Source organism: Homo sapiens, chromosome 4, assembly GCF_000001405.40.
Source record: "Homo sapiens chromosome 4, GRCh38.p14 Primary Assembly".
Taxonomy (NCBI): domain Eukaryota; kingdom Metazoa; phylum Chordata; class Mammalia; order Primates; family Hominidae; genus Homo; species Homo sapiens.
The window spans coordinates 49,630,247-49,658,100 of record NC_000004.12 but is presented as its reverse complement, the minus strand read 5'-3'; the positions used below and the strand labels follow the sequence as shown (position 1 = coordinate 49,658,100).

General features: G+C 40.4%; 25 annotated features.

Moving 5' to 3' along the window:
* Window positions 761-1,683: an enhancer, noted in NCBI's record as "OCT4-NANOG-H3K27ac-H3K4me1 hESC enhancer chr4:49658435-49659357 (GRCh37/hg19 assembly coordinates)". NCBI's record gives its function as "activates a minimal SCP1, AML or CMV promoter by ChIP-STARR-seq in naive H9 embryonic stem cells {active_cell/tissue: H9 hESC(naive)}" and the evidence as "EXISTENCE:reporter gene assay evidence [ECO:0000049][PMID:30033119]".
* Window positions 1,684-2,605: an enhancer, noted in NCBI's record as "OCT4-NANOG-H3K27ac-H3K4me1 hESC enhancer chr4:49657513-49658434 (GRCh37/hg19 assembly coordinates)". NCBI's record gives its function as "activates a minimal SCP1, AML or CMV promoter by ChIP-STARR-seq in naive H9 embryonic stem cells {active_cell/tissue: H9 hESC(naive)}" and the evidence as "EXISTENCE:reporter gene assay evidence [ECO:0000049][PMID:30033119]".
* Window positions 5,452-6,079: an enhancer, noted in NCBI's record as "OCT4-NANOG-H3K27ac-H3K4me1 hESC enhancer chr4:49654039-49654666 (GRCh37/hg19 assembly coordinates)". NCBI's record gives its function as "activates a minimal SCP1, AML or CMV promoter by ChIP-STARR-seq in naive and primed H9 embryonic stem cells {active_cell/tissue: H9 hESC(naive and primed)}" and the evidence as "EXISTENCE:reporter gene assay evidence [ECO:0000049][PMID:30033119]".
* Window positions 6,080-6,705: an enhancer, noted in NCBI's record as "OCT4-NANOG-H3K27ac-H3K4me1 hESC enhancer chr4:49653413-49654038 (GRCh37/hg19 assembly coordinates)". NCBI's record gives its function as "activates a minimal SCP1, AML or CMV promoter by ChIP-STARR-seq in naive and primed H9 embryonic stem cells {active_cell/tissue: H9 hESC(naive and primed)}" and the evidence as "EXISTENCE:reporter gene assay evidence [ECO:0000049][PMID:30033119]".
* Window positions 6,706-7,332: an enhancer, noted in NCBI's record as "OCT4-NANOG-H3K27ac-H3K4me1 hESC enhancer chr4:49652786-49653412 (GRCh37/hg19 assembly coordinates)". NCBI's record gives its function as "activates a minimal SCP1, AML or CMV promoter by ChIP-STARR-seq in naive and primed H9 embryonic stem cells {active_cell/tissue: H9 hESC(naive and primed)}" and the evidence as "EXISTENCE:reporter gene assay evidence [ECO:0000049][PMID:30033119]".
* Window positions 7,333-7,959: an enhancer, noted in NCBI's record as "OCT4-NANOG-H3K27ac-H3K4me1 hESC enhancer chr4:49652159-49652785 (GRCh37/hg19 assembly coordinates)". NCBI's record gives its function as "activates a minimal SCP1, AML or CMV promoter by ChIP-STARR-seq in primed H9 embryonic stem cells {active_cell/tissue: H9 hESC(primed)}" and the evidence as "EXISTENCE:reporter gene assay evidence [ECO:0000049][PMID:30033119]".
* Window positions 7,960-8,586: an enhancer, noted in NCBI's record as "OCT4-NANOG-H3K27ac-H3K4me1 hESC enhancer chr4:49651532-49652158 (GRCh37/hg19 assembly coordinates)". NCBI's record gives its function as "activates a minimal SCP1, AML or CMV promoter by ChIP-STARR-seq in primed H9 embryonic stem cells {active_cell/tissue: H9 hESC(primed)}" and the evidence as "EXISTENCE:reporter gene assay evidence [ECO:0000049][PMID:30033119]".
* Window positions 9,274-9,927: an enhancer, noted in NCBI's record as "OCT4-NANOG-H3K27ac hESC enhancer chr4:49650191-49650844 (GRCh37/hg19 assembly coordinates)". NCBI's record gives its function as "activates a minimal SCP1, AML or CMV promoter by ChIP-STARR-seq in primed H9 embryonic stem cells {active_cell/tissue: H9 hESC(primed)}" and the evidence as "EXISTENCE:reporter gene assay evidence [ECO:0000049][PMID:30033119]".
* Window positions 9,928-10,581: an enhancer, noted in NCBI's record as "OCT4-NANOG hESC enhancer chr4:49649537-49650190 (GRCh37/hg19 assembly coordinates)". NCBI's record gives its function as "activates a minimal SCP1, AML or CMV promoter by ChIP-STARR-seq in primed H9 embryonic stem cells {active_cell/tissue: H9 hESC(primed)}" and the evidence as "EXISTENCE:reporter gene assay evidence [ECO:0000049][PMID:30033119]".
* Window positions 10,582-11,235: an enhancer, noted in NCBI's record as "OCT4-NANOG hESC enhancer chr4:49648883-49649536 (GRCh37/hg19 assembly coordinates)". NCBI's record gives its function as "activates a minimal SCP1, AML or CMV promoter by ChIP-STARR-seq in naive and primed H9 embryonic stem cells {active_cell/tissue: H9 hESC(naive and primed)}" and the evidence as "EXISTENCE:reporter gene assay evidence [ECO:0000049][PMID:30033119]".
* Window positions 11,284-12,261: an enhancer, noted in NCBI's record as "OCT4-NANOG-H3K27ac-H3K4me1 hESC enhancer chr4:49647857-49648834 (GRCh37/hg19 assembly coordinates)". NCBI's record gives its function as "activates a minimal SCP1, AML or CMV promoter by ChIP-STARR-seq in naive and primed H9 embryonic stem cells {active_cell/tissue: H9 hESC(naive and primed)}" and the evidence as "EXISTENCE:reporter gene assay evidence [ECO:0000049][PMID:30033119]".
* Window positions 12,262-13,239: an enhancer, noted in NCBI's record as "OCT4-NANOG-H3K27ac-H3K4me1 hESC enhancer chr4:49646879-49647856 (GRCh37/hg19 assembly coordinates)". NCBI's record gives its function as "activates a minimal SCP1, AML or CMV promoter by ChIP-STARR-seq in naive H9 embryonic stem cells {active_cell/tissue: H9 hESC(naive)}" and the evidence as "EXISTENCE:reporter gene assay evidence [ECO:0000049][PMID:30033119]".
* Window positions 13,240-14,217: an enhancer, noted in NCBI's record as "OCT4-NANOG-H3K27ac-H3K4me1 hESC enhancer chr4:49645901-49646878 (GRCh37/hg19 assembly coordinates)". NCBI's record gives its function as "activates a minimal SCP1, AML or CMV promoter by ChIP-STARR-seq in naive and primed H9 embryonic stem cells {active_cell/tissue: H9 hESC(naive and primed)}" and the evidence as "EXISTENCE:reporter gene assay evidence [ECO:0000049][PMID:30033119]".
* Window positions 14,218-15,195: an enhancer, noted in NCBI's record as "OCT4-NANOG-H3K27ac-H3K4me1 hESC enhancer chr4:49644923-49645900 (GRCh37/hg19 assembly coordinates)". NCBI's record gives its function as "activates a minimal SCP1, AML or CMV promoter by ChIP-STARR-seq in naive and primed H9 embryonic stem cells {active_cell/tissue: H9 hESC(naive and primed)}" and the evidence as "EXISTENCE:reporter gene assay evidence [ECO:0000049][PMID:30033119]".
* Window positions 15,196-16,173: an enhancer, noted in NCBI's record as "OCT4-NANOG-H3K27ac-H3K4me1 hESC enhancer chr4:49643945-49644922 (GRCh37/hg19 assembly coordinates)". NCBI's record gives its function as "activates a minimal SCP1, AML or CMV promoter by ChIP-STARR-seq in naive and primed H9 embryonic stem cells {active_cell/tissue: H9 hESC(naive and primed)}" and the evidence as "EXISTENCE:reporter gene assay evidence [ECO:0000049][PMID:30033119]".
* Window positions 16,174-17,151: an enhancer, noted in NCBI's record as "OCT4-NANOG-H3K27ac-H3K4me1 hESC enhancer chr4:49642967-49643944 (GRCh37/hg19 assembly coordinates)". NCBI's record gives its function as "activates a minimal SCP1, AML or CMV promoter by ChIP-STARR-seq in naive and primed H9 embryonic stem cells {active_cell/tissue: H9 hESC(naive and primed)}" and the evidence as "EXISTENCE:reporter gene assay evidence [ECO:0000049][PMID:30033119]".
* Window positions 17,152-18,129: an enhancer, noted in NCBI's record as "OCT4-NANOG-H3K27ac-H3K4me1 hESC enhancer chr4:49641989-49642966 (GRCh37/hg19 assembly coordinates)". NCBI's record gives its function as "activates a minimal SCP1, AML or CMV promoter by ChIP-STARR-seq in naive and primed H9 embryonic stem cells {active_cell/tissue: H9 hESC(naive and primed)}" and the evidence as "EXISTENCE:reporter gene assay evidence [ECO:0000049][PMID:30033119]".
* Window positions 18,130-19,107: an enhancer, noted in NCBI's record as "OCT4-NANOG-H3K27ac-H3K4me1 hESC enhancer chr4:49641011-49641988 (GRCh37/hg19 assembly coordinates)". NCBI's record gives its function as "activates a minimal SCP1, AML or CMV promoter by ChIP-STARR-seq in naive and primed H9 embryonic stem cells {active_cell/tissue: H9 hESC(naive and primed)}" and the evidence as "EXISTENCE:reporter gene assay evidence [ECO:0000049][PMID:30033119]".
* Window positions 19,108-20,085: an enhancer, noted in NCBI's record as "OCT4-NANOG-H3K27ac-H3K4me1 hESC enhancer chr4:49640033-49641010 (GRCh37/hg19 assembly coordinates)". NCBI's record gives its function as "activates a minimal SCP1, AML or CMV promoter by ChIP-STARR-seq in naive and primed H9 embryonic stem cells {active_cell/tissue: H9 hESC(naive and primed)}" and the evidence as "EXISTENCE:reporter gene assay evidence [ECO:0000049][PMID:30033119]".
* Window positions 20,086-21,063: an enhancer, noted in NCBI's record as "OCT4-NANOG-H3K27ac-H3K4me1 hESC enhancer chr4:49639055-49640032 (GRCh37/hg19 assembly coordinates)". NCBI's record gives its function as "activates a minimal SCP1, AML or CMV promoter by ChIP-STARR-seq in naive and primed H9 embryonic stem cells {active_cell/tissue: H9 hESC(naive and primed)}" and the evidence as "EXISTENCE:reporter gene assay evidence [ECO:0000049][PMID:30033119]".
* Window positions 22,042-23,019: an enhancer, noted in NCBI's record as "OCT4-NANOG-H3K27ac-H3K4me1 hESC enhancer chr4:49637099-49638076 (GRCh37/hg19 assembly coordinates)". NCBI's record gives its function as "activates a minimal SCP1, AML or CMV promoter by ChIP-STARR-seq in primed H9 embryonic stem cells {active_cell/tissue: H9 hESC(primed)}" and the evidence as "EXISTENCE:reporter gene assay evidence [ECO:0000049][PMID:30033119]".
* Window positions 23,020-23,997: an enhancer, noted in NCBI's record as "OCT4-NANOG-H3K27ac-H3K4me1 hESC enhancer chr4:49636121-49637098 (GRCh37/hg19 assembly coordinates)". NCBI's record gives its function as "activates a minimal SCP1, AML or CMV promoter by ChIP-STARR-seq in naive and primed H9 embryonic stem cells {active_cell/tissue: H9 hESC(naive and primed)}" and the evidence as "EXISTENCE:reporter gene assay evidence [ECO:0000049][PMID:30033119]".
* Window positions 23,998-24,975: an enhancer, noted in NCBI's record as "OCT4-NANOG-H3K27ac-H3K4me1 hESC enhancer chr4:49635143-49636120 (GRCh37/hg19 assembly coordinates)". NCBI's record gives its function as "activates a minimal SCP1, AML or CMV promoter by ChIP-STARR-seq in naive and primed H9 embryonic stem cells {active_cell/tissue: H9 hESC(naive and primed)}" and the evidence as "EXISTENCE:reporter gene assay evidence [ECO:0000049][PMID:30033119]".
* Window positions 24,976-25,953: an enhancer, noted in NCBI's record as "OCT4-NANOG-H3K27ac-H3K4me1 hESC enhancer chr4:49634165-49635142 (GRCh37/hg19 assembly coordinates)". NCBI's record gives its function as "activates a minimal SCP1, AML or CMV promoter by ChIP-STARR-seq in naive and primed H9 embryonic stem cells {active_cell/tissue: H9 hESC(naive and primed)}" and the evidence as "EXISTENCE:reporter gene assay evidence [ECO:0000049][PMID:30033119]".
* Window positions 25,954-26,932: an enhancer, noted in NCBI's record as "OCT4-NANOG hESC enhancer chr4:49633186-49634164 (GRCh37/hg19 assembly coordinates)". NCBI's record gives its function as "activates a minimal SCP1, AML or CMV promoter by ChIP-STARR-seq in naive and primed H9 embryonic stem cells {active_cell/tissue: H9 hESC(naive and primed)}" and the evidence as "EXISTENCE:reporter gene assay evidence [ECO:0000049][PMID:30033119]".

Sequence of the window (27,854 nt, the reverse complement as noted above, 5' to 3'; positions counted from 1 at the left end):
GAATTCCATACCATTCCATTCCACTCTGGATGATTCCATTCCATTCCATTGTTTTCCGTTCCATTCCATTCCATTCCATTCCATTCCATTCCATTCCATTCCACTCTGCTTGATTCCATTTCATTCCATTCCATTCCTTTCCATTCCATTCCTCTCCTGTTGATTCCATTTCATTCCATTCCATTCCAATGCACTTGGGTTGATTCCAGTCGGTAGCATTCCATTCCATTGCATTCCATTCATTTACATTACACTCCGTTTGATTCCATAGCATTCCATTCCATTCCATTCCATTCCCTTCCCTTCCATCCCATTCGTGTTGATTCCATTCCATTCTGTTCCATTCCATTCCATTCAATTCCTTTCCATTCCATTCCTCTCCATTCCATTCGGGTTGATTCCATTCCATTCCATTCCATTCCATTCCATTCCATTCCACTCCACTCCAATCCAATCCATTCCACTCCATTACATTCCATTCCATTCCACCCGGATTCATTCCATTCCATTCCATTCCATTCCATTCCATTCCATTCCATTCCAGTTGATTCCATTGGATTCGATTCGGTTCCATTCCATTCCATTCCATTCCACTCGAGTTGATTCCACTGCATTCCATTGCATTTCATTGCATTTCATTCCAGTTGGGTGCATTCCATTCCATTCCGTTCCACTCCACTCGGGTTGATTCCATTCCGTTCCTTTCCATTCCATTCCATTCCATTCCTTTCCAATCTATTCGTGTTGATTCCATTCCATTCCACTCCAATCAATTCCATTCCATTCCAATCCAATCCATTCCATTCAATTCCACTCGCATTCAATCTATTCCATTGCATTTCATTCCGTTGTATTCCATTCCATTCCATTGCATTCCATACCATTCCATTCCACTCTGGATGATTCCATTCCATTCCATTATGTTCCGTTCCATTCCATTCCATTCCATTCCACTGGGGTTGATTCCATTCCATTCCATTCCATTCCATTCCATTCCATTCCACTCGCAGTGTTTCCATTCCAATCCTTTCCATCTCATTCTATTCCATTCCATTCCATTCCTTTCTATTCCATTCCATTCCACTCCATTCCATTCCATTCCTCTCCGGTTATTCCATTCCATTCCATTGCATTCCACTCGGGTTGTTTCCATTGAATTCCATTCCATTTTATTCCACTCCATTCCATTCTGTTCCATTACATTCCATTCTATACCATTCCACTATGGCTGATTCCATACCTTTCTATTCCATTCCATTCCATTAAAATCCTTTCCATTCCATTCCCCTCGGGTAGATTCCATTCCATTCCGTTCCATTCCATTCTGTTCCGTTCCGTTCCATTCCGTTCCATTCCATTCCATTCTATTCCATTCCATATCATTCCACCAAACTTGATTGCATGTTGTTCCATTCCATTCAATTCCATTCCATTCCATTCCATTCCATTCCTTTCCACTCAGGGTGATTCCATTCCATTTAATTCCAATGCATTCCATTCCAGTTGATAGCATTGCATTGCATTGTTTCCATTGCATTCCATTACATTCCTTTCCACTCGGTTTGATTCATTTCCATTCCATTCCATTCAATTCCATTCCATTCCATTCCATTCCATACCATTCCACCAAAGTTGAGTGCATGCTATTCCATCCCATTCCATTACATTCCATTCAATTCCATTCCTTTCCAGTTGGGTTGATTCTATTCAATTCAATTCCGTTCTGATCCGTCCCTTTCCGCTCCATTTCATTCCATTCCTTTTCATTCCATTGCATTCCACTCGGGTTGATTCCATTCCATTCCATTCCATTCCATTCCATTCCATTCCATAACCTTCGTGTTCATTCCTTTCCATTCGATTCCATTCCATACCATTCCAATCCAATCTGTTCCATTCCATTAGGGTTGATTCCGTTCCATTGTATGCCCTTTTAGTCCATTCCATTCCATTCCATTCCATTCTATTCCATTCCATATCATTCCACCAAACTTGATTGCATGTTGTTCCATTCCATTCAATTCCATTCCATTCCATTCCGTTCCTTTCGGGTAGATTCCATTCCATTCCTTTCCATTCCATTTAATTCCTTTCCATTCCATTCCTCTCGGGTTGTTTCCGTTGCTTTCCATTCAATTGCAATGCACTTGGGTTGATTCCATTCCCTTCCATTCCGTTCCATTCCATTCCACTCGGGTTGATTCCATTTCGTTCCTTTCCATTCCATTCCATTCCATTCCATTCCATTCCATTCCGTTCCATTCAATTCGTGTTGATTCCATTCCATTCCACTCCAATACATTCCATTCAATTCCTTTCCACTCGCGTTGATTCCATTTCTTTCCTTTCCATTCCATTCCATTCCGTTCCATTCAATTCGTGTTGATTCCATTCCATTCCACTAAAATCCATTCCATTCCATTCCAATCCATTGCATTCCATTCAATTCCACTCGCATTCAATCTATTCCATTGAATTTCATTCCGTTTTGTTCCATTCCATTCCACTGCATTCCATACCTGTCCATTCCACTCGGGATGATTCCGTTCCATTCCATTATATTCGGTTCCATTCCATTCCATTCCTTTCCATTCCATTCCATTCCATTCCACTCTGGTTGATTCCATTCCATTCCATTGCGTTCCATTCCTTTCCACTCGGGTTGTTTCCATTTCATTCCTTTCCATTTCATTCTATTCCATTCCATTCCATTCCATTCTATTCCATTCCATTCCACTCCTTTCCATTCCATTCATCTCCGGTTATTCCATTCCATTCCATTCCGTACCATTCCATTCGGTTTGTTGCCATTCCATTCCATTCCATTTTATTCCATTCCATTCCATTCCATTACATTACATTACATACCATTCCACTCGGGTTGATTCCATACCATTCTATTCCATTCCATTTCATTAAATTCCATTCCATTCCATTCCACTCGGTTAGATTCCATTCCATTCCATTCCATTCCATTCCATTCCATTAGTTTTTAATCGGGTTGATTTCAATCCATTCCATTATATTCCAGTCCTTTCCATTCCATGCCATTCCACTCGAGTTCTTTCCATTTTGTTGTATTCCATTCCATTCAATTCAATTCCATTCCATTCCATTCCATTCCATTCCATTGCATTCCTTTGCATTCCATTCCACACGGGTTGTTTCCATTCCGTTCCATTAGTTTCCATTCCATTCCATTCCTTTCCATTCCATTCCATTCCATTACATTCCATTCCATTCCTTTCCACTCAGGGAGATTCCATTCCATTCCATTCCAATGCATTCCATTCCAGTTGATACCATTGCATTGCATTGTTTCCATTCCATTCCATTCCATTCCATTCCATTCCATTCCATTCCATACCATTCCATCAAAGTTGAGTGCATGCTATTCCATTCCATTCCATTCCTTTAAATTCAATTCCATTCCTTTCCATTTCGGTTGATTCCATTCCATTCAATTCCGTTCCGTTCCGTCCCATTCCGTTCCATTCCATTCCATTCCATTTCATTCCATTGTATTCCACTCAGGTTGATTCCATTGCATTCCATTCCATTCCATACCCTTCGGGTTGATTCCATTCCATTCGATTCCATTCCGTACAATTCCACTGCATTCCATTCCATTCCATTCGGGTTGATTCCGTTCCATTCCAGGCCCTTTTATTCCATTCCATCCCCTTCCATTCCATTCCATACCATTAAACCTAAATTGATTGCATGTTATTGCATTCCATTCAATTCTATTCCATTCCATTCCATTCCATTCCATTCCTTTCACTTGGTTTTATTCCATTCCATTCCATTCCATTCCATTCCATTCCATTCCACTCCATTCCATTCCACTCCACTCCGGTTGATTCCATTAAATTCCCTTCCATTTCATTCCATTCCGTTTCACTGGAGTTGATTCCATTCCATTCCATTCCACTTTATTCCATTCCATTCCGTTCCATTCCTTTCCATTCCATATCATTCCACTACGGTTGATTCCATGCCATTCCATTCCATGAAATTCCATTCCATTCCACTAAACTCGTGTTGATTCCTTTCCATTCCATTCCACTTCATTCCATTCCATTACATTCCATTCCATTGCATTCCATTCTATTCCATTCCATTCCATTCCATTCCATTCCATTGCATTCCATTCCACACGGGTTGTTTCCATTCCGTTCCATTAGTTTCCATTCCATTCCATTCCTTTCCATTCCATTCCGTACCATTCCATTCGGGTTTATTCCATTCAGTTCCATTCCATTCCATTCCATTCTATTCCATTCCATTCGGGTTTATTCCATTCCATTCCATTCCAGTCCATTGCATTCCATTCCATTCCACTCCACTCCATTCCATTCCATTCCACTCGTGTTGATTCCTTTCCATTCCATTCCATTCCATTCCATTCGGATTCATTCCGTTGCATTCCATTCCATTACTTTCCATTCCATTCTATTTCATTTCATTCCATTCCATTGCATTCCATTCCATTCCATTCCATTCCTTTCCATTCCATTCCATTCAATTCCATACCATTCCCTCAAACTTGATTGCATGTTATTCCATTCCATTCATTTCCATTCCATTCCATTCCATTCCATTCTTTCCACTCGGGTTGATTCCATTCCATTCAATTCCGTTCCGTTCCATTCCATTCCATTCCATTCCATTCCATTCCATTCCATACCCTTCGGGGTGATTCCTTTCCATTCCATTCAATTCCATACCATTCCACTCCATTCCGTTCCATTCCAATCGCGTTGATTCCGTTCCATTCCATGCCCTTTTATTCCATTCCATTCCATTCCATTGCATTCCATTCCATTCCCTTCCATACAATTCCACCAATGTTGATTGCATGTTATTCCATTCCATTCCATTCCATTGCATTCAATTCCATTCCATTGCATTCCACTCGGGATGTTTCCATTCCATTCCATTCCATTCCATTCCATTCCATTCCATTCCATTGCATTCCATTCCATTCATTTCCACTCGGTTTGATTTCATTCCATTCAATTCCGTTCCGTTCCATTCCGTTCCATTCCATTCCATTTCATTCCATTGCACTCCACTCGTGTTGATTCCATTCCATTCCATTCCGTTGCATTCCATTCCATTCCATTCCATACCCTTCTAGTTGATTCCTTTCCATTCCATTCCATTCCATACCATTCCACTCCATTCCGTTCCATTCCATTCGGGTTGATTCCGTTCCATTCCATGACCTTTTATTCCATTCCATTCCATTCAATTCCATTCCATACCATTCCACCAAAGTTGATTGCATGTTATTCCATTCCATTCCATTCCATTCCATTCCATTCCATTCCTTTCCACTCGGGTTGATTCCTTTCCTTTCAATTCCGTTCCGTTCCATTCCGTTCCGTTCCAATCCTTTCCATTTCATTCCATTGCATTCCACTCGGGTTGATTCCATTCCTTTCCACTCCATTCCATTACACTGTATTCCATACTCTTCAGGTTGATTCCTTTCCATTCCATTCCATTCATCACCATTCCACTTCATTCCGTTCCATTCCTTTCGGGTTGATTCCATTCCATTCCGTTCCGTTCCATTCCATTCCATACCATTCCACTAGGGTTGATTCCATACCATTCCATTCCATTGCATTCCATTCCATTCCATTCCACTCGGTTTGATTCCATTCCATTCCATTCCATTCCGTTCCATCCCACTCCATTCCATTACATTCCATTCCACTCGGGTTAATTCCGTTCCATTCCATTCCAATCCATTCCATTCCATTCCATTCCATTCCATTCCATTCCATTCCATTCCATTAGGGTCCATTCCATTCCATTCCGTTCCGTTCCTTTCCATTCCATTCAATTCCATTCCATTCCTTTCCATTCCATTCATTCCTTTCCATTCCATTCCATTCCACTCGGGTTGATTCCATTCCAGTCCATTCCATTCCATTAAATTTCATTCCATTCCATTCCACTCGTGTAGATTCCATTCCATTCCATTCCATTCCATTCCATTCCATTCCATTCCATTCCATTAGTTTTTAATCGGGTTGATTTCAATCCATTCCATTATATTCAAGTCCTTTCCATTCCATGCCATTCCACTCGGGTTGTTTCCATTTTGTTGTATTCCATTCCATTCCATTCCATTCCATTCCATTCCATTCCATTGCATTCCATTCCACTCGGTTTGTTTCCATTCCGTTCCATTAGTTTCCATTCCATTCCATTCCTTTCCATTCCATTCCACTCAGGGTGATTCCTTTCCTTTCCATTCCAATTCTTTCCATTCCAGTTCATACCATTGCATTGCATTGTTTCCATTCCATTCCATTCCATTCCATTCCATTCCATTCCATTCCATTCAACTCGGTTTGATTCCTTTCCATTCTATTCCTTTGCATTCCATTCCATTCCATTCCATTCCTCTCGGGTTGATTCCATTAAATTCCATTCCCTTTTATTCCATTCCATTCCATTCCATTGCATTCCATTCCATTCCATTCCATACCATTCCACCAAAGTTGATTGCATGCTATTCCATTCCATTCCATTCCATTCCGTTCCTTTCCACTTGGGTTGATTCCATTCCATTCAATTCCGTTCCATTCCGTTCCGTTCCGTTCCGTTCCATTCCATTCCATTCCATTCCATTCCATTCCATTCCATTTCATTCCATTGCATTCCACTCGGGTTGTTTCCATTCCATTCCATTCCATTCCATTCCATTCCATTCCATTCCATATTCCATTCCATACCCTTCGGGTTGATTTCTTTCCATTCCATTCCTTTCCATACCATTCCACTCCATTCCATTCCATTCCATTCCTTTCTTGTTGATTCCATTCCATTGAATTTCTTTCCATTCCAATCCATTCCATTCCATTCCATTCCATTCCATTCCATTCCATTCCATTCTATTCCACTCGAGTTAATTCCATTCCTTTGAATTCCATGGCTTTCCATTCCATTCCATTCCATTCCATTCCATTCCTTTTCATTCTATTACACTCGGGTTGTTTCCATTCCATTCATTTCTTTTCCATTCCATTCCATTCCTCTCCATTCCACTCATGTTTATTCCATTCTTTCCATTCCATTCCATTCCATTGCATTCCATTCCAGTTGATTCCATAGCATTCCACTCCATTCCATTCCATTCTATTCCTTTCCATTCCACTCGGGTTGATTCCATTCCATTCCATTCCATTGCATTCCATTCCAGTTGATTCCATAGCATTCCACTCCATTCCATTCCATTCTATTCCTTTCCATTCCACTCGGGTTGATTCCATTCCATTCCATTCCATTCCATTCCATTCCGTTCCACTCGGGTTGATCCATTCCATTCCATTCCATTCCATTCCATTCCATTCCATTCCATTTCACTCGAGTTGATGCCATTCCATTCCAATCCATTTTATTCCTTTCCATTCCATTCGGTTCCATTCCATACCATTCCACTCGGGTGGATTCCATAACATTCCATTCCATTCCATTCCATTCCTTTCCATTCCATTCCATTCCACTCGTGTTGATTCCATTCCATTGCTTTCCATTCCATTCCATTCCATTCCATTCGGGTTGATTCCGTTCCATTCCATTCCATTTCATTTCATTCCATTCCATTCCATTCCATTACACTCCTTTCCATTCCATTCCACTCCATTCCATTCCATTCCTTTCCACCCAGATTGATTCCATTCTATTCCATTGCATTCCGTTCCGTTCCATTCCAGTTGATTCCAATGCCTTCCATTCCATTGCATTCCATTCCACTCCATTCCACTCTGGTTGATTCCATTCCATTCCGTTCCATTCCATTCCATTCCATTCCATTCCATTCCATTGCACTCCTGTTGATTCCATTCCATTTCTTTCCATTCCATTTCACTCGGGTTGATTCCATTCCATTCCGATCCATTTTATTCCATTCCATTCCATTCCATACCTTTCCATTCCACACGGGTTAATTCCATTCCATTCCATTGCATTCCATTGCATTCCATTCTATTCCATTCCATTCAGGTTGATTCCTTTCCATTCCTTTCCATCCCATTCCATTCCACTGCATTCCATTCCATTCAATGCAATTCCATTCCATTCCACTCCATTCCATTCCACTCGTGTTCATTCCATTCCATTCCATTCCATTCTGTCCCGTTCCTTTCCATTCTATTCCGTTCCATTCCATTCCCTCACACTCATGTTCATTCCATTCCGTTCCGTTCCATTCCATTCCATTCATTTCCATTCCTTTCCATTGCACTCCACTCGGGTTGATTCCATTCCATTCCATTCTATTCCATTCCGTTCAATTCAATTCAATTCCATTCCATTCCATTGCATTCCAGTTCATTCCATTCCTTTCCATTAAATTCCATTCCATTCCCTTCCATTCCATTCCATTCCCTTCCATTCCATTCCATTCAATTCACTTCCGTTGCGTTGGAATCGGGTTGATTCCAATCCATTCCATTACATTCCAGTCTTTTCCATTCCATTCCATTCCACTCGGTTTGTTTCCATTACGTTGAATTGCATTCCATTCCATTCCATTCCATTCCATTCCACTGAAATTCATTGCATTTCATTCCACTCGGTTTGTTTCCTTTCCATTCCATTAGTTTCCAATAAATTCCATTCCATTCATTCCATTCCATTCCATTCCACTCAGGTTGATTCCGTTCCATTCCATTGCATTCCATTCCATTCTAGTTGATTCCATTGCATTCCGTGCTGTTCCATTCCATTCCACTCCATTCGAATCCATTCAACTTCGGTTGATTCCATTCCATTCCATTCCATTCAATTCCCTTCCATTGCATTCCACTCGGGTTGATTCCATTCCATTCCATTGCATTCCATTCCATTCCATTCCATTGCACTTCCTTCCATTCCAGTTGATTCCATTCCATTCCATTCCATTCCATTCCATTCCACTCTGGTTGACTACATTCCATGCCATTGCATTCCGTTGCCTTCCATTCCTTTCTATTACATTCCATTCTTTTCTATTCCATTCCTTTCCACTCGAGTTGATTCCATTCCATTCTATTCCATTCCATTCTATTCCATTCCGTACCGATCCATTCCATTCCATTCCATTCCATTTCAATCGGGTGGATTCCATTCCATTCAATTCTATTCCATTCCATTTCATTCCATTCCGCTCGGATGATTCCATTCCATTCCATTCCATTCCATTGAAATTCATTTCATTGCATTCCAGTTGAATCCATTGGATTCGATTCCGTTCCATTCCATTCCATTCCACTCGAGTTGATTCCACTCCGTTCCATTAGATTACATTCCATTTCATTCCTATCGGGTGGATTCCATTCCATTCCATTCCATTCCACTCCGGTTGATTCCATTCCGTTCCTTTCCATTCCATTCCATTCCATTCCATTCCGTTCCGTTCCATTCCATTCGTGTTGATTCCATTCCATTCCACACCAATGCATTCCATTCCATTCAAATCCACTCGCATTCAATCTATTACATTGAATTTCATTCCGTTCTGTTCCATTCCATTCCATTCCATTCCATTAAATTCCATTCCATTCTGTTCCACTCGGGTACATTCCATTCCATTCCATTCCATTCCATTCCATTCCATTAGTTTCTAATGTGGTTGATTCCAATCAATTCCATTATATTCAAGTCCTTTCCATTCCATGCAATTCCACTCGAGTTCTTTCCATTTTGTTGTATTCCATTCCATTCCATTCCATTCCATTCCATTCCATTCCTTTCCATTCCATTCCATTCCATTCCATACCATTCCATCAAAGTTGATTGCATGTTATTCCATTCTATTCCATTCCATTCCATTCCATTCCATTCCATTCCATTCCATTCCACTCCATTCCTTTCCACTCGGGTTGATCCCATTCCATTCAATTCCGTTCCTTTCCGTTCCATTCCATTCCATTCCATTTCATTCCATTGCATTCCACTCGGGTTGATTCCATTCCATTCCATTCCATTCCATTCCCTTCGGGTTGATTCCTTTCCATTCAATTCCATTCCATACCATTCTATTCCATTCCGTTCCATACCATTCGGGTTGATTCCGTTCCATTCCATGCCCTTTTATTCCATTCCATTCCATTCCATTCCCTTCCATACCATTCCATCAAAGTTGATTGCATGTTATTCCATTCCATTCCATTCCATTCCATTCCATTCCATTCCATTCCGTTCCGTTCCCTTCCATTCCGTTCCATTCCATTCCATTCCATTCCACTCGTGTTGATTTCATTCCTTTCAATTTCGTTCCGTTCTATTCCGATCCATTCCATTCCATTTCATTCCATTGCTTTCCATTCGTGTTGATTCCTTTCCATTCCATTCCATTCCATACCATTCCACTCCATTCCGTTCCATTCCATTCGGGTTGATTCCGTTCCATTCCATGACCTTTTATTCCATTCCATTCCATTCCATTCCATTCCATTCCATTCCATTCCATACCATTCCACCAAAGTTGATTGCATGTTATTCCATTTCATTCCATTCCATTCCATTCCATTCCATTCCATTCCATTCCTTTCCTCTCGGGTTGATTCCATTCCTTTCAATTCCGTTCCGTTCCGTTCCGTTCCATTCCATTGCATTTCATTCCATTGCATTCCACTCGGGTTGATTCCATTCCATTCCATTCCATTCTATTCCATACCCTTCGGGTTGATTCCTTTCCATTCCATTCCATTCCATACCATTCCACTCCATTCCGTTCCATTCCATTCCGGTTTATTCCATTCCGTTCCATTCCGTTCCATTCCATTCCATACCATTCCACTAGGGTTGATTCCATACCATTCCATTCCATGCATTCCATTCCATTCCATTCCACTCGGGTTGATTCTATTCCATTCCATTCCTTTCCGTTCCATTCCTTTCCACTCGGGTTGATTTCATTCCATTCAATTCCGTTCCATTCCATTCCGTTCCATTCCATTCCATTTCATTCCATTGTATTCCACTCGTGTTGATTCCATTCCATTCCACTCCATTGCATTCCATTCCATTCCATTCCATACCGTTCGATTTGATTCCTTTCCATTCCATTCCATTCCGTACCATTCCACTCCATTCCGTTCCATTCCATTCGGGTTGATTCCGTTCCATTCCATGATCTTTTATTCCATTCCATTCCATTCCATTCCATTCCATTCCATTCCATTCCATACCATACCATTCCACCAAAGTTGATTGCATGTTATTCCATTTCATTCCATTCCATTCCATTCCATTCCATTACTTTCAACTCTGGTTGAGTCCATTCCTTTCAATTCCGTTCCATTCCGTTCCGTTCTGTTCCATTCCATTCCATTTCATTCAATTGCATTCCACTCGGGTTGATTCCATTCCATTCCATTCCATTCTATTCCATACCATCCGCGTTGATTCCTTTCCATTCCATTCCAATCCGTACGATTCCACTCCATTCCGTTCCATTCCATTCTGGTTAATTCCATTCCGTTCCATTCCGTTCCATTCCATTCCATACCTTTCCACTAGGGTTGATTCCATTCCATTCCATTCCGTTCCATTCCATTCCACTGCATTCCATTACATTCCATTCCACTCCAGTTAATTCCGTTCCTTTCCATTCCAATCCATTCCATTCCATTGGGGTCTATTCCATTCCATTCCATTCCATTCCATCCCATTCCGTTCCGTTCCTATCCATTCCATTCCATTCCATTCCATTCCATTCCATTCCATTCCATTCATTCCTTTCCATTCCATTCCATTCCACTCGGGTTGATTCCATTCCATTCCATTCCATTCCATTCCATTCCATTAAATTCCATTCCATTCCATTACACTCGGGTAGATTCCATTCCATTCCATTCCTTTCCATTCCATTCCATTCCACTCCTTTCCATTAGTTGCTAATCGGGTTGATTCCAATACATTCCATTATATTCAAGTCCTTTCCATTCCATGCCATTCCACTCGGGTTGTTTCCTTTTTGTTGTATTCCATTCCATTCCATTCCATTCCATTGCATTCCCTTCCATTCCATTCCATTCCATTCCATTCCATTGCATTCCATTCCACTCGGGTTGTTTCCTTTCCGTTGCATTAGTTTCCATTCCATTCCATTCCTTTCCATTCCATTCCACTCAGGGTGATTCCATTCCTTTCCATTCCAATTCTTTCCATTCCTGTTGATACCATTGCATTGCATTGTTTCCATTCCATTCCATTCCATTCCATTCCACTCGGTTTTATTCATTTCCATTCCATTCCATTCCATTCAATTCCATTCCATTCCATTCCATTGCATTCCATTCCACTCGTGTTGTTTCCTTTCCGTTCCATTAATTTCCATTCCATTCCATTCCTTTCCATTCCATTCCACTCAGGGTGATTCCATTGCTTTCCATTCCAATTCTTTCCATTCCAGTTGATACCATTGCATTGCATTGTTTCCATTCCATTCCATTCCACTCGGTTTTATTCATTTCCATTCCATTCCATTCCATTCCATTCCATTCCATTCCATTCCATTCCATTCATGTCGGGTTGATTCCATTCCATTTCATTCCCTTTTATTCCATTCCATTCCATTCCATTCCATTCCATACCATTCCACCAAAGTTGATTGCATGCTATTCCATTCCATTCCATTCCATTCCATTCCATTCCATTCCATTCATGTCGGGTTGATTCCATTCCATTTCATTCCCTTTTATTCCATTCCATTCCATTCCATTCCATACCATTCCACCAAAGTTGATTGCATGCTATTCCATTCCATTCCATTCCATTCCATTCCATTCCGTTCCTTTCCACTTGGGTTGATTCCATTCCATTCAGTTCTGTTCTGTTCCGTTCCGTTCCTTTCCATTCCATTCCATTCCATTTCATTCCATTGCATTCCATTCCATTCCATTCCATTCCATTCCATTCCATACCCTTCGGGTTGATTCCTTTCCATTCCATTCCATTCCATACCATTCCACTCCATTCCATTCCATTCCATTCCATTCTGGTTGATTCCATTCTGTTGAATTTCTTTCCATTCCAATCCATTGCATTCCATTCCATTCCATTCCATTCCATTCCATTCCATTCCATTCCATTCCATTCTATTCCACTCGAGTTAATTCCATTCCTTTGAATTCCATTGCTTTCCATTCCTTTCCATTCCATTCCTTTTCATTCTATTACACTCGGGTTGTTTCCATTCCATTCATTTCTTTTCCATTCCATTCCATTCCATTCTTTTCCATTCCACTCATGTTGATTCCATTCTTTCCAATCCATTCCATTCCATTCCATTCCATTCCATTCCATTCCAGTTGATTCCATTGCATTCCATTCCATTCCATTCCGTTCTATTCCTTTCTGTTCCACTCGGGTTGATTCCATTCCATTCCATTCCATTCCATTCCATTCCATTCCATTCCATTCCCTTCCATTCCATTGCACTCGGGTTGATGCCATTCCATTCCAATCCATTTTATTCCTTTCCATTCCATTCCATTCCATACCATTCCACTGGAGTGGATTCCATAACATTCCATTCCATTGCATTCCGTTCCTTTCCATTCCATTCCATTCCACTCGTGTTGTTTCCATTCCATTCCTTTCCATTCCATTCCATTCCATTCCTTTCCATTTGGGTTGATTCCGTTCCATTCCATTCCATTCCATTACACTCCATTCCATTCCATTCCATTCCACTCCATTCCATTCCATTCAATTCAATTCCACTCCATTCCAATCCACTCGTTTTCATTCCATTCCATTCCATTCTTTCCCGTTCCTTTCCATTCTATTCCGTTGCATTCCACTCCCTTACACTCGTGTTCATTCCATTCCGTTCCGTTCCATTCCATTCCATTCATTTCCATTCCTTTCCATTGCACTCCACTTGGGTTGATTCCATTCCATTCCATTCTATTCCATTCCGTTCAACTAAATTCCATTCCATTCCATTCCATTGCATTCCAGTTCATTCCATTCTTTTCCATTCTATTCCATTCTTTTCCATTCTATTCCATTCCCTTCCATTCCATTCCATTCAATTCTATTCCGTTGCATTGGAATCGGGTTGATTCCAATCCATTCCATTACATTCCAGTCTTTTCCATTCCATTCCATTCCACTCGGTTTGTTTCCATTACGTTGAATTGTATTCCATTCCATTCCATTCCATTCCATTCCACTGAAATTCATTGCATTTCATTCCACTCGGTTTGTTTCCTTTCCATTCCATTAGTTTCCAATAAATTCCATTCCTTTCATTCCATTCCATTCCATTCCACTCAGGTTGATTCCGTTCCATTCCATTCCATTCCATTCCATTCTAGTTGATTCCATTGCTTTCCGTGCTGTTCCATTCCATTCCACTCCATTCGAATCCATTCCACTTGGGTTGATTCCATTCCATTCCATTCCATTCAATTACCTTCCATTGCGTTCCACTCGGGTTGATTCCATTCCATTCCATTGCATTCCATTCCATTCCATTGCATTGCATTTCCTTCCATTCCAGTTGATTCCATTCCATTCCATTCCATTCCATTCCATTCTATTCCACTAGGGTTAATTTCATTCGATTCCATTCCATTCCTGTTTTCCCTTCCATTCCATTCCATTCCATTCCACTCGGGTTGACTACATTCCATGCCATTGCATTCCATTGCATTCCATTCGTTTCTATTACATTCCATTCTTTTCTATTCCATTCCTTTCCACTCGAGTTGATTCCATTACATTCTATTGCATTCCGTACCGATCCATTCCATTCCATTCCATTCCATTTCAATCGGGTTGATTCCATTCCATTCAATTCTATTCCATTCCATTCCAATCGGGTTGATTCCATTCCATTCAATTCTATTCCATTCCATTCCAATCGGGTTGATTCCATTCCATTCAATTCTATTCCATTCCATTCCATTCCATTCCACTCGGATGATTCCATTCCATTCCATTCCATTCCATTTAAATTCATTGCATTGCTTTCCAGTTGAATCCATTGGATTCGATTCCGTTCCTTTCCATTCCATTCCACTCGAGTTGATTCCACTCCGTTCCATTGGATTACATTCCACTTCATTCCTATCAGGTGGATTCCATTCCATTCAATTCCATTCCACTCCGGTTGATTCCATTCCATTCCTTTCCATTCCATTCCATTCCATTCCATTCCGTTCCATTCCATTCGTATTGATTCCATTCCATTCCACTCCAATCCATTCCATTCCATTCCAATCCATTCCATTCCATTCAAATCCACTCGCATTCAATCTATTCCATTGCATTTCATTCCGTACTGTTCCATTCCATTCCTTTCCATTCCATTCCATTCCATTCCACTCGGGTTGTTTCCATTCCATTCCTTTCCATTTCATTCTATTCCATTCCATTCCATTCCATTCCATTCCATTCCATTCCATTCCATTCTATTCCATTCCATTCCATTCCATTCCATTCCATTCCATTCTATTCCATTCCACTCCATTCCATTCCATTCCTCTCCGGTTATACCATTCAATTCTGTTCCATTCCACTCGGATTTTTCCATTCCATTGCATTCCATTTTATTCCATTCCATTCCATTCCATTCCATTAAATTCCATTCCATTCCGTTCCACTCGGGTAGATTCCATTCCATTCCATTCCATTCCATTCCATTCCATTCCATTCCATTAGTTTCTAATGTGGTTGATTCCAATCCATTCCATTATATTCAAGTCCTTTCCATTCCATGCCATTCCACTCGAGTTCTTTCCATTTTGTTGGACTCCATTCCATTCCATTCCATTCCATTCCATTCCTTTCCTTTCCATTCCATTCCATCCCATTCCATACCATTCCATCAAAGTTCATTGCATGTTATTCCATTCCATTCCATTCCATTCCATTCCATTCCACTCCCTTCGTTTCCACTCGGGTTGATTCCATTCCATTCAATTCCCTTCCTTTCCGTTCCATTCCATTCAATTCCATTTCATTCCATTGCATTCCACTCGGGTTTATTCCATTCCATTCCATTCCATTCCATTCCATTCCAATCCATTCCATTCCATTCCATTCGGGTTGATTCTTTTCCATTCCATTCCATACCATTTCACTCCATTCCGTTCCATTCCATTCGGGTTGATTCCGTTCCATTCCTTGCCCTTTTATTCCTTTCCATTCCATTCCATTCCCTTCCATACCATTCCACCAAAGTTGATTTCATGTTATTCCAATCCATTCCATTCCATTCCATTCCATTCCATTCCATTCCATTCCATTCCATTCCACTCGGGTTGATTTCATTCCACTCATTTCCATTCCGCTCCATTCCGATCCATTCCATTCCATTTCATTCGTTTGCTTTCCACTCGTGTTGATTCCATTCCATTCCATACCCTTCGAGTTGATTCCTTTCCATTCCATTCCATTCCATACCATTCCACTCCATTCCGTTCCATTCCATTCGGGTTGATTCCATTCCATTCCATGACCTTTTATTCCATTCCATTCCATTCCATTCCATTCCATACCATTCCACTCCATTCCGTTCCATTCCATTCGGGTTGATTCCATTCCATTCCATGACCTTTTATTCCATTCCATTCCATTCCATTCCATTCCATTCCATTCCATTCCATACCATTCCACCAAAGTTGATTGCATGTTATTCCATTTCATTCCATTCCATTCCATTCCATTCCATTCCTTTCCACTCGGGTTGATTCCATTCCTTTCAATTCCGTTCCGTTCCGTTCCATTCCATTCCATTTCATTCCATGGCTTTCCACTCGGGTTGATTCCATTCCATTCCATTGCATTCTATTCCATACACTTAGGGTTGATTCCTTTCCATTCCATTCCATTCCATACCATTCCACTCCATTCCGTTCCATTCCATTCGGGTTGATTCCCTTCCGTTCCATTCCGTTCCATTCCATTCCATACCATTCCACTATGGTTGATTCCATACCATTCCATTCCATTGCATTCCATTCCATTCCATTCCACTCGGGTTGATTCCATTCCATTCCATTCCATTCCATTCCATTCCTTTCCACTCGGGTTGATTTCATTCCATTCAATTCCGTTCCGTTCCATTCCGTTCCATTCCATTCCATTTCATTCCATTGCATTCCACTCATGTTGATTCCATTCCATTCCATTGCATTCCATTCCATTCCATTCCATAGCCTTCGAGTTGATTCCTTTCCATTCCATTCCATTCCACACCATTCCAATCCATTCCGTTCCATTCCATTCGGGTTGATTCCGTTCCATTCCATGACCTTTTATTCCATTCCATTCCATTCTATTCCATACCATTCGGGTTGATTCCTTTCCATTCCATTCCATTCCATACCATTCCACTCCATTCCGTTCCATTCCATTCGGGTTAAGTCCATTCCGTTCCATTCCATTCCATTCCATTCCATACCATTCCACTAGGGTTGATTCCATACCATTCCATTCCATTGCATTCCATTCCATTCCATTCCACTCAGGTTGATTCCATTCCATTCCATTCCGTTCCATTCCATTCCACTGCATTCCATTACATTCCATTCCACTCCAGTTAATTCCGTTCCATTCCATTGCAATCCATTCCATTCCATTGGGTTCCATTCCATTCCATTCCATTCCGTTCCGTTCCGATCCATTCCATTAAATTCCATTCCATTCCATTCCATTCCATTCCATTCATTCCTTTCCATTCCATTCCATTCCACTCGGGTTGATTCCATTCCATTCCATTCCATTCCATTCCATTAAATTCCATTCCATTCCATTCCACTCGGGTAGATTCCATTCCATTCCATTCCATTCCATTCCATTCCATTCCACTCCTTTCCATTAGTTTCTAATCGGGTTGATTCTAATCCATTCCATTATATTCAAGTCCTTTCCATTCCATGCCATTCCACTCGGGTTCTTTCCATTTTGTTGTATTCCATTCCATTCCATTCCATTCCATTCCATTCCATTCCATTCCATTCCATTGCATTCCACTCGGGTTGTTTCCACTCCGTTCCATTAGTTTCCATTCCATTCCATTCCTTTCCATTCCATTCCACTCAGGGTGATTCCATTCCTTTCCATTCCAATTCTTTCCATTCCAGTTGATACCATTGCATTGCATTGTTTCCATTCCATTCCATTCCATTCCATTCCACTCCGTTTTATTCATTTCCATTCCATTCCATTCCATTCCATTCCATTCCATTCCGTTCCTTTCCACTTGGGTTGATTCCATCCCATTCAGTTCCGTTCTGTTCCGTTCCGTTCCTTTCCATTCCATTGCATTTCATTCCATTGCATTCCACTCGGGTTGATTCCATTCCATTCCATTCCATTCCATTCCATTCCATTCCCTTCGGGTTGATTCCTTTCCATTCCATTCCATTCCATACAATTCCACTCCATTCCATTCCATTCTGGTTGATTCCATTCCGTTGAATTTCTTGCCATTACAATCCATTCCTTTCCATTCCATTCCATTCCATTCTATTCCACTCGAGTTAATTCCATTCCTTTGAATTCCATTGCTTTCCATTCCATTCCATTCCATTCCTTTTCATTCTATTACACTTGGGTTGTTTCCTTTCCATTCATTTCTTTTCCATTCCATTCCATCCTTTTCCATTCCACTCATGTTGATTCCATTCTTTCCATTCCATTCCATTCCATTCCATTCCATTCCATTCCACTCCAGTTGATTCCATTGCATTCCATTCCATTCCATTCCGTTGTATTCCTTTCCATTCCACTCGGGTTGATTCCATTCCATTCCATTCCATTCCATTCCATTCCATTCCATTCCATTTCACTCGGGTGATGCCATTCCATTGCAATCCATTTTATTCCTTTCCATTCCATTCCTTTCCATTCCGTTCCATTCCACTCGGGTGGATTCCATAACATTCCATTCCATTCCATTCCATTCCATTCCATTCCATTCCATTCCACTCGTGTTGATTCCATTCCATTCCTTTCCATTCCATACCATTCCATTCCATTCGGGTTGATTCAGTTCCATTCCATTCCATTTCATTCCATTCCATTCCATTCCATTACACTCCATTCCATTCCATTCCACTCCATTCCATTCCATTCCACTCCATTCCATTCCATTCATTTCCATTCCTTTCCATTGCACTCCACTCGGGTTGATTCCATTCCATTCCATTCTATGCCATTCCGTTCAATGAAATTCCATTCCATTCCATTCCATTGCATTCCAGTTCATTCCATTCCTTTCCATTCCATTCCATTCCCTTCCATTCCATTCCATTCCCTTCCATTCCATTCCATTCAATTCAATTCCGTTGCATTGGAATCGGGTTGATTCCAATCCATTCCATTACATTCCAGTCTTTTCCATTCCATTCCATTCCATTCGGTTTGTTTCCATTTCGTTGAATTGCATTCCATTCCATTCCATTCCATTGAAATTCATTGCATTCCATTCCACTCGGTTTGTTTCCTTTCCATTCCATTATTTTCCAATAAATTCCATTCCATTCATTCCATTCCATTCCATTCCACTCAGGTTGATTCCTTTCCATTCCATTCCATTCCATTCCATTCTAGTTGATTCCATTGCATTCCGTGGTGTTCCATTCCATTCCACTCCATTCGAATGCATTCCACTTGGGTTGATTCCATTCCATTCCATTCCTTTCAATTCCATTCCATTGCATTCCACTCGGGTTGATTCCATTCCATTCCATTGCATTGCATTCCATTCCATTCCATTTCCTTCCATTCCAGTTGATTGCATTCCATTCCATTCCATTCCATTCCATTCCATTCCATACCATTCCACCAAAGTAGATTGCATGCTATTCCTTTCCATTCCATTCCATTCCATTCCATTCCATTCCATTCCATTCATTTCCACTTGGGTTGATTCCATTCCATTCAATTCTGTTCCGTTCCATTCCGTTCTGTTCCATTCCATTCCATTCCATTCCATTTCATTCCATTGCATTCCACTCGGGTTGATTCAATTCCATTCCATTCCATTCCATTCCATTCCATTCCATTCCATTCCATACCCTTCGGGTTGATTCCTTTCCATTCCATTGCATTCCATACCATTCCACTCCATTCCATTCCATTCCATTCTGGTTGATTCCATTCCGTTGAATTTCTTTCCATTCCAATCCATTCCATTCCATTCCATTCCATTGCTTTCCATTCCATTCCATTCCATTAATTTTCTTTCTATTACACTCGGGTTGTTTCCATTCCATTCATTTCTTTTACATTCCATTCCATTCCTTTCCATTCCACTCATGTTGATTCCATTCTTTCCATTCCATTGCATTCCATTCCATTCCATTCCATTCCAGTTGATTCCATTGCATTCCATTCCATTCCATTCCATTCCATTCTATTCCTTTCCATTCCACTCGGGTTAATTCCATTCAATTCCATTTCGTTCCATTCCATTCCGTTCCACTCGGGTTGATTCCATTCCATTCCATTCCATTCCATTCCATTCCATTCCATTCCATTCCATTCCATTTCACTCGGGTTGATGCCATTCCATTCCAATCCATTTTATTCCTTTCCATTCCATTCCTTTCCATTCCATTCCATTCCACTCGGGTGGATTCCATAACATTCCATTCCATTCCATTCCATTCCTTTCCATTCCAATCCATTCCACTCGTGTTGATTCCATTCCATTCCTTTCCATTCCATTCCATTACATTCCATTCCGGTTGAGTCCGTTCCATTCCATTCCATTTCATTCCATTCCATTCCACTCCATTCCATTCCATTACACTCCATTCCATTCCATTCCACTCCATTCCATTCCATTCCATTCCACCCAGATTGATTCCTTTCTTTTCCATTGCATTCCGTTCCATTCCATTCCAGTTGATTCCAATGTCTTCCATTCCATTCCATTCCATTGCATTCCATTCCACTCCATTCCACTCTGGTTGATTCCATTCCATTCCATTCCATTCCATTCCATTCCATTCCATTCCACTCGGGTTCATTCCATTCCATTGCTTTCCATTCCATTTCACTCGGGTTGATTCCATTCCATTCCGATCCATTTTATTCCATTCCATTCCATTCCATACCTTTCCATTCCACACGGCTTAATTCCATTCCATCCCATTCCATTCCATTCCATTCCATTCAGGTTGATTCCTTTCCATTCCATTCCATCCCATTCCATTCCGCTCCATTCCATTCCATTCAATTCAATTCCATTCCATTCCACTCCATTCCATTCCACTTGTGTTCATTCCATTCCATTCCATTCCATTCTATCCCGTTACTTTGCATTCTATTCCGTTCCATTCCATTCCCTCACACTCGTGTTCATTCCATTCCGTTCCTTTGCATTCCATTCCATTCATTTCCATTCCTTTCCATTGCACTCCACTCGGGTTGATTCCATTCCATTCCATTCTATTCCATTCCGTTCAATTAAATTCCATTCCATTCCATTCCATTGCATTCCAGTTCATTCCATTCGTTTCCACTCCATTCCATTCCCTTCCATTCCATTCCATTCCATTCCCTTCCATTCCATTCCATTCAATACTATTCCGTTGCATTGGAATCGGGTTGATTCCAATCCATTCCATTACATTCCAGTCTTTTTCATTCCATTCCATTCCACTCGGTTAGTTTCCATTACGTTGAATTGCATTCCATTCCATTCCATTCCATTCCATTCCATTGAAATTCATTGCATTTCATTCCACTCGGTTTGTTTCCTTTCCATTCCATTAGTTTCCAATAAATTCCATTCCATTCATTCCATTCCATTCCATTCCACTCAGGTTGATTCCGTTCCATTCCATTCCATTCCATTCCATTCTAGTTGATTCCATTGCATTCCGTGCTGTTCCATTCCATTCCACTCCATTCGAATCCATTCCACTTGGGTTGATTCCATTCCATTCTATTCCATTCCATTCAATTACTTTCCATTGCATTCCACTCGGGTTGATTCCATTCCATTCCATTGCATTCGATTCCATTCCATTCCATTGCATTTCCTTCCATTCCAGTTGATTCCACTCCATTCCATTCCATTCCATTCCATTCTATTCCACTAGGGTTAATTTCATTCGATTCCATTCCATTCCTGTTTTCCCTTCCGTTCCATTCCATTCCATTCCACACGGGTTGACTACATTCCATGTCATTGCATTCCATTGCATTCCATTCCTTTCTATTACATTCCATTCTTTTCTATTCCATTCCTTTCCACTCGAGTTGATTCCATTCCTTTCTATTCCATTCCGTATCGTTCCATTCCATTCCATTCCATTGCATTCCATTCCATTCCATTCCATTAGTTTCTTATCGGGTTGATTCCAATCCATTCCATTATATTCACGTCCTTTCCATTCCATGCCATTCCACTCGAGCTCTTTCTATTTTGTTGTATTCCATTCGATTCCATTCCATTCCATACCATTCCATCAAAGTTGATTGCATGTTATTCCATTCCATTCAATTCCATTCCATTCCATTCCATTCCATTCCATTCCATTCCATTCAATTCCATTCCATTCCATTCCATTCCATTCCATTCCATTCCATTCCATTCCTTTCCACTCGTGTTGATTCCATTCCATTCAATTCCGTTCCTTTCCGTTCCATTCCATTCCATTCCATTTCATTCCATTGCATTCCACTCGGGTTGATTCCATTCCATTCTATTCCATACCCTTCAGGTTGATTCCTTTCCATTCCATTCCATTCCATACCATTCCACTCTATTCCGTTCCATTCCATTCGAGTTGATTCCATTCCGTTCCATTCCGTTCCATTCCATTCCATACAATTCCACTCGGGTTGATTCCATACCATTCCATTCCATTGCATTCCATTCCATTCCATTCCACTCGGGTTGATTCCATTCCATTCCATTCCATTCCATTCCATTCCATTCCATTCCTTTCCACTCGGGTTGATTTCATTCCATTCAATTCCGTTCCATTCCTTTCCATTCCATTTCATTCCATTGCATTCCACTCGTGTTGATTCCATTCCCTTCCATTCCATTGCACTCCATTCCATTCCATTCCATACCCTTCGAGTTGATTCCTTTACATTCCATTCCATTCCATACCATTCCACTCCATTCTGTTCCATTCCATTCGGGTTGATTCCGTTCCATTCCATGAGCTTTTATTCCATTCCGTTCCATTCCATTCCATTCCATTCCATCCCATTCCATACCATTCCACCAAAGTTGATTGCATGTTATTCCATTTCATTCCATTCCATTCCATTCCATTCCATTCCATTCCATTCCATTCCATTCCATTCCTTTCCACTCGGGTTGATTCCATTCCTTTCAATTCCGTTCCGTTCCGTTCCATTCCGTTCCATTCCATTCCATTTCATTCCATTGCATTCCACTAGGGTTGATTCCGTTCCATTCCATTCCATTCTATTCCATACCATTCGCGTTGATTCCTTTCCATTCCATTCCATTCCATACCATTACACTTTTTCCGTTCCATTCCATTCGGGTTGAATCCATTCCGTTCCATTCCGTTCCATTCCATTCCATATCATTCCACTAGGGTTGATTCCATACCATTCCATTCCATTGCATTCCATTCCATTCCATTCCACTCGGGTTGATTCCATTCCATTCCATTCCGTTCCATTCCATTCCACTGCATTCCTTTACATTCTATTCCACTGCAGTTAATTCCGTTCCATTCCATTCCATTCCATTCCATTCCACTCCATTCCATTCCATTCCGTTCCGTTCCGTTCCATTCCATTCAATTCCATTCCATTCAATTCCATTCATTCCTTTCCATTCCATTCCATTCCACTCGGGTTGATTCCATTCCATTCCATTCCATTCCATTCCATTAAATTCCATTCCATTCCATTCCATTAAATTCCATTCCATTCCATTCCACTCGGGTAGATTCCATTCCATTCCATTCCATTCCATTCCATTCCATTCCACTCCTTTCCATTAGTTTCTAATCGGGTTGATTCCAATCCATTCCATTATATTCAAGTCCTTTCCATTCCATGCCATTCCACTCAGGTTGTTTCCATTTTGTTGTATTCCATTCCATTCCTTTCCATTCCATTGCATTCCATTCCATTCCATTCCATTCCATTGCATTCCATTCCATTGCATTCCATTCCATTCCATTCCATTACATTCCATTACATTCCATTCCACTCGGGTTGTTTCCATTCCTTTCTATTAGTTTCCATTCCATTTCATTGCTTTCCATTCCATTCCACTCAGGGTGATTCCATTCCTTTCCATTCCAATTCTTTCCATTCCAGTTGATACCATTGCATTGCATTGTTTCCATTCCATTCCATTCCATTCCATTCCACTCGGTTTTATTCATTTCCATTCCATTCCATTCCATTCCATTCCGTTCCATTCCATTCCATTCCATTCCATTCCATTCATCTCGGCTTGATTCCATTCCATTCCATTCCCTTTTATTCCATTCCATTCCATTCCATTCCATACCATTCCACCAAATTGATTGCATGCTATTCCATTCCCTTCCATTCCATTCCATTCCATTCCATTCCGTTCCTTTCCACTTGTGTTGATTCCATTCCATTCAGTTCCGTTCTGTTCCGTTCCATTCCATTCCATTCCATTTCATTCCATTGCATTCCACTCGGGTTGATTCCATTCCATTCCATTCCATTCCATTCCATTCCATTCCATTCCATTCCATTCCCTTCGGGTTGATTCCTTTCCATTCCATTCCTTTCCATACCATTCCACTGCATTCCATTCCATTCCATTCCATTCCATTCCATTCCATTCCATTCTGGTTGATTCCATTCCGTTGAATTTCTTTCTATTCCAATCCATTCCATTCCATTCCAGTCCATTCCATTCTATTCCACTCGAGTTAATTCCATTCCTTTGAATTCCATTGCTTTCCATTCCATTCCATTCCATTCCTTTTCATTCTATTACACTCGGGTTGTTTCCATTCCATTCATTTCTTTTCCATTCCATTCCATTCTTTTCCATTCCATTCATGTTGATTCCATTCTTTCCGTTCCATTCCATTCTATTCCATTACAGTTGATTCCATTGCATTCCATTCCATTCCATTCCATTCTATTCCTTTCCATTCCAATCGGGTTGATTCCATTCCATTCCATTCCATTCCATTCCATTCCGTTCCACTCCGGTTGATTCCATTCCATTCCATTCCATTCCATTCCATTCCACTCGGTTTGATACCATTCCATTCCAATCCATTTTATTCCTTTCCATTCCATTCCATTCCATACCATTCCACTCGGGTGGATTCCATAACATTCCATTCCATTGCATTCCGTTCCTTTCCATTCCATTCCATTCCACTCGTGTTGATTCCATTCCATTCCTTTCCATTCCATTCCATTCCATTCCATTCCATTCCATTCCATTCCATTCCATTTGGGTTGATTCCGTTCCATTCCATTCCATTTCATTCCATTCCATTCCATTCCATTCCACTCCATTCCATTCCATTCAATTCAATTCCATTCCATTCCTCTCCATTCCATTCCACTCGTGTTCATTCCATTCCATTCCATTCTTTCCCGTTCCTTTCCATTCTATTCCGTTCCATTCCATTCCCTTACACTCGTGTTCATTCCATTCCATTCCGTTCCATTCCATTCCATTCATTTCCATTCCCTTCCATTGCACTCCACTCGGGTTGATTCCATTCTATTCCATTCTATTCCGTTCCATTCCATTCCCTTACACTCGTGTTCATTCCATTCCGTTCCATTCCATTCCATTCCATTCATTTCCATTCCCTTCCATTGCACTCCACTCGGGTTGATTTCATTCCATTCCATTCTATTCCATTCCGTTCAATTAAATTCCATTCCATTCCATTCCATTGCATTCCAGTTCATTCCATTCCTTTCCATTCCATTCCATTCCCTTCCATTCCATTCCATTCCCTTCCATTCCATTCCATTCAATTCTATTCCGTTGCATTGGAATCGGATTGATTCCAATCCATTCCATTTCATTCCAGTCTTTTCCATTCCATTCCATTCCACTTGGTTTGTTTCTATTACGTTGAATTGCATTCCATTCCATTCCATTCCCTTCCATTCCATTCCATTCCATTCCATTCCATTCCATTGAAATTCATTGCATTCCATTCCACTCGGTTTGTTTCCTTTCCATTCCATTAGTTTCCAATAAATTCCATTCCATTCATTCCATTCCATTCCATTCCACTCAGGTTGATTCCGTTCCATTCCATTCCATTCCATTCCTTTCCACTCGGGTTGACTTCATTCCATGCCATTGCATTCCATTGCATTCCATTCTTTTCTATTACATTCCATTCTTTTCCATTCCATTCCTTTCCACTCGAGTTGATTCCATTCCATTCTATTCCATTCCCTACCATTCCATTCCATTCCATTCCATTCCATTCCATTCCATTTCAATCGGGTTGATTCCATTCTGTTCAATTCTATTTCATTCCATTCCATTCCTTGCCACTCGGGTTAATTCTATTCCATTCCATGCCATTGCATTCCCTTCCATTCCATTCTACTCGGATGATTCCATTCCATTCCATTCCACTCGGGATAACTCCATTCCATTCCAATCCATTCCTCTCGGGTTGATTCCATTCCATTCCATTCCAATCCATTCCATTCAATTCCATTCCATTCCATTCCATTCCATTCCATCCATTCCATTCCTTTCCATTTGATTCCATTCCATTGAATTCCATTCCATTCCTTTCCATTCCAATCCTTTCCATTCGGGTTGATTCCATTCCGTTCCATTCCATTCTTATGGTTTCCTATAAATTTTAGGATTTTGTTTCCATTTCTCTGAAGTGTGTTATTAGTATTTCAATAAGGATTGCATTGAATCTGTAGATTGCTTTGTGAAGTATGGGTATTTTAATAATATTTACTCTTCCAATAAATGAACATGGACAATCTTTCTAGTTTTTTTGTGTCCTCTTTAATTTTTTGCATCGATATTTTATACTTTTCATTGTAGAGATCTTTCACTTCTTCTGTTATGTTTATTCCCAGTTATTTTATTTTATTTGTCGCTATTGTAAATGGGATTACATTCTTGATTTTCTTCTTTAGATTGTTCATTTTTTTCATTTAGAAATGCTACTCACTTTTGTAGCTTGATTTTTTATGTTGTGACTGTGAATTTGTTGATTAGTTCTAATAGTTTTTTGGTGGAGTCCTTACGTTTTTCCAAATATAAGATCAAGTCATCTGCAAACAATAAAACATTAATAATTTTACTTCTTTCCAATGTGCATCCCTTTTATTGTTTTTCTCTTGTCTGAATTGCTCTAGCTAGGACTTCCTGTACTGTGTTGAGTAACAGTGTTGGAAGTGGACATTCTTGTCTTGTTCCATAACTTAGAAGAAAGGCTTTCAGCTTTTCCCTGTTCAGGATGATACTGGCTGTGGGTCTGATGCATTTGGTTTTTATTGTGTTGTGTTATGTTCCTTCTATATCTAGTTTTTTTTTGAGGGTTTCTTTTTATCACAGGGATGTTGAATTTTATTAAATGCTTTTCTGTATCTATTGAAATTATCATATGGTTTTTGTCCTTCATTCTGTTGATATGATGTGTCACATTGAGTGATTTGCATATGTTGAACCATGTTGGCATCATCGGGATAAATCTCACTTAGACGTGATGAATTGTCTTTTTCATAGGATGTGTTTGGAAATACTACAGCCTTCTCTGTTTTTTGGGATAGTTTGGGTAGGATTGATAGTAATTCTGCCTTCAATGTTTGGTAAAATTAATCCATGAAGCCAGTGAAGCCATTGAATCCAGGCTTTTCTTTGCTAGGAGATGTTT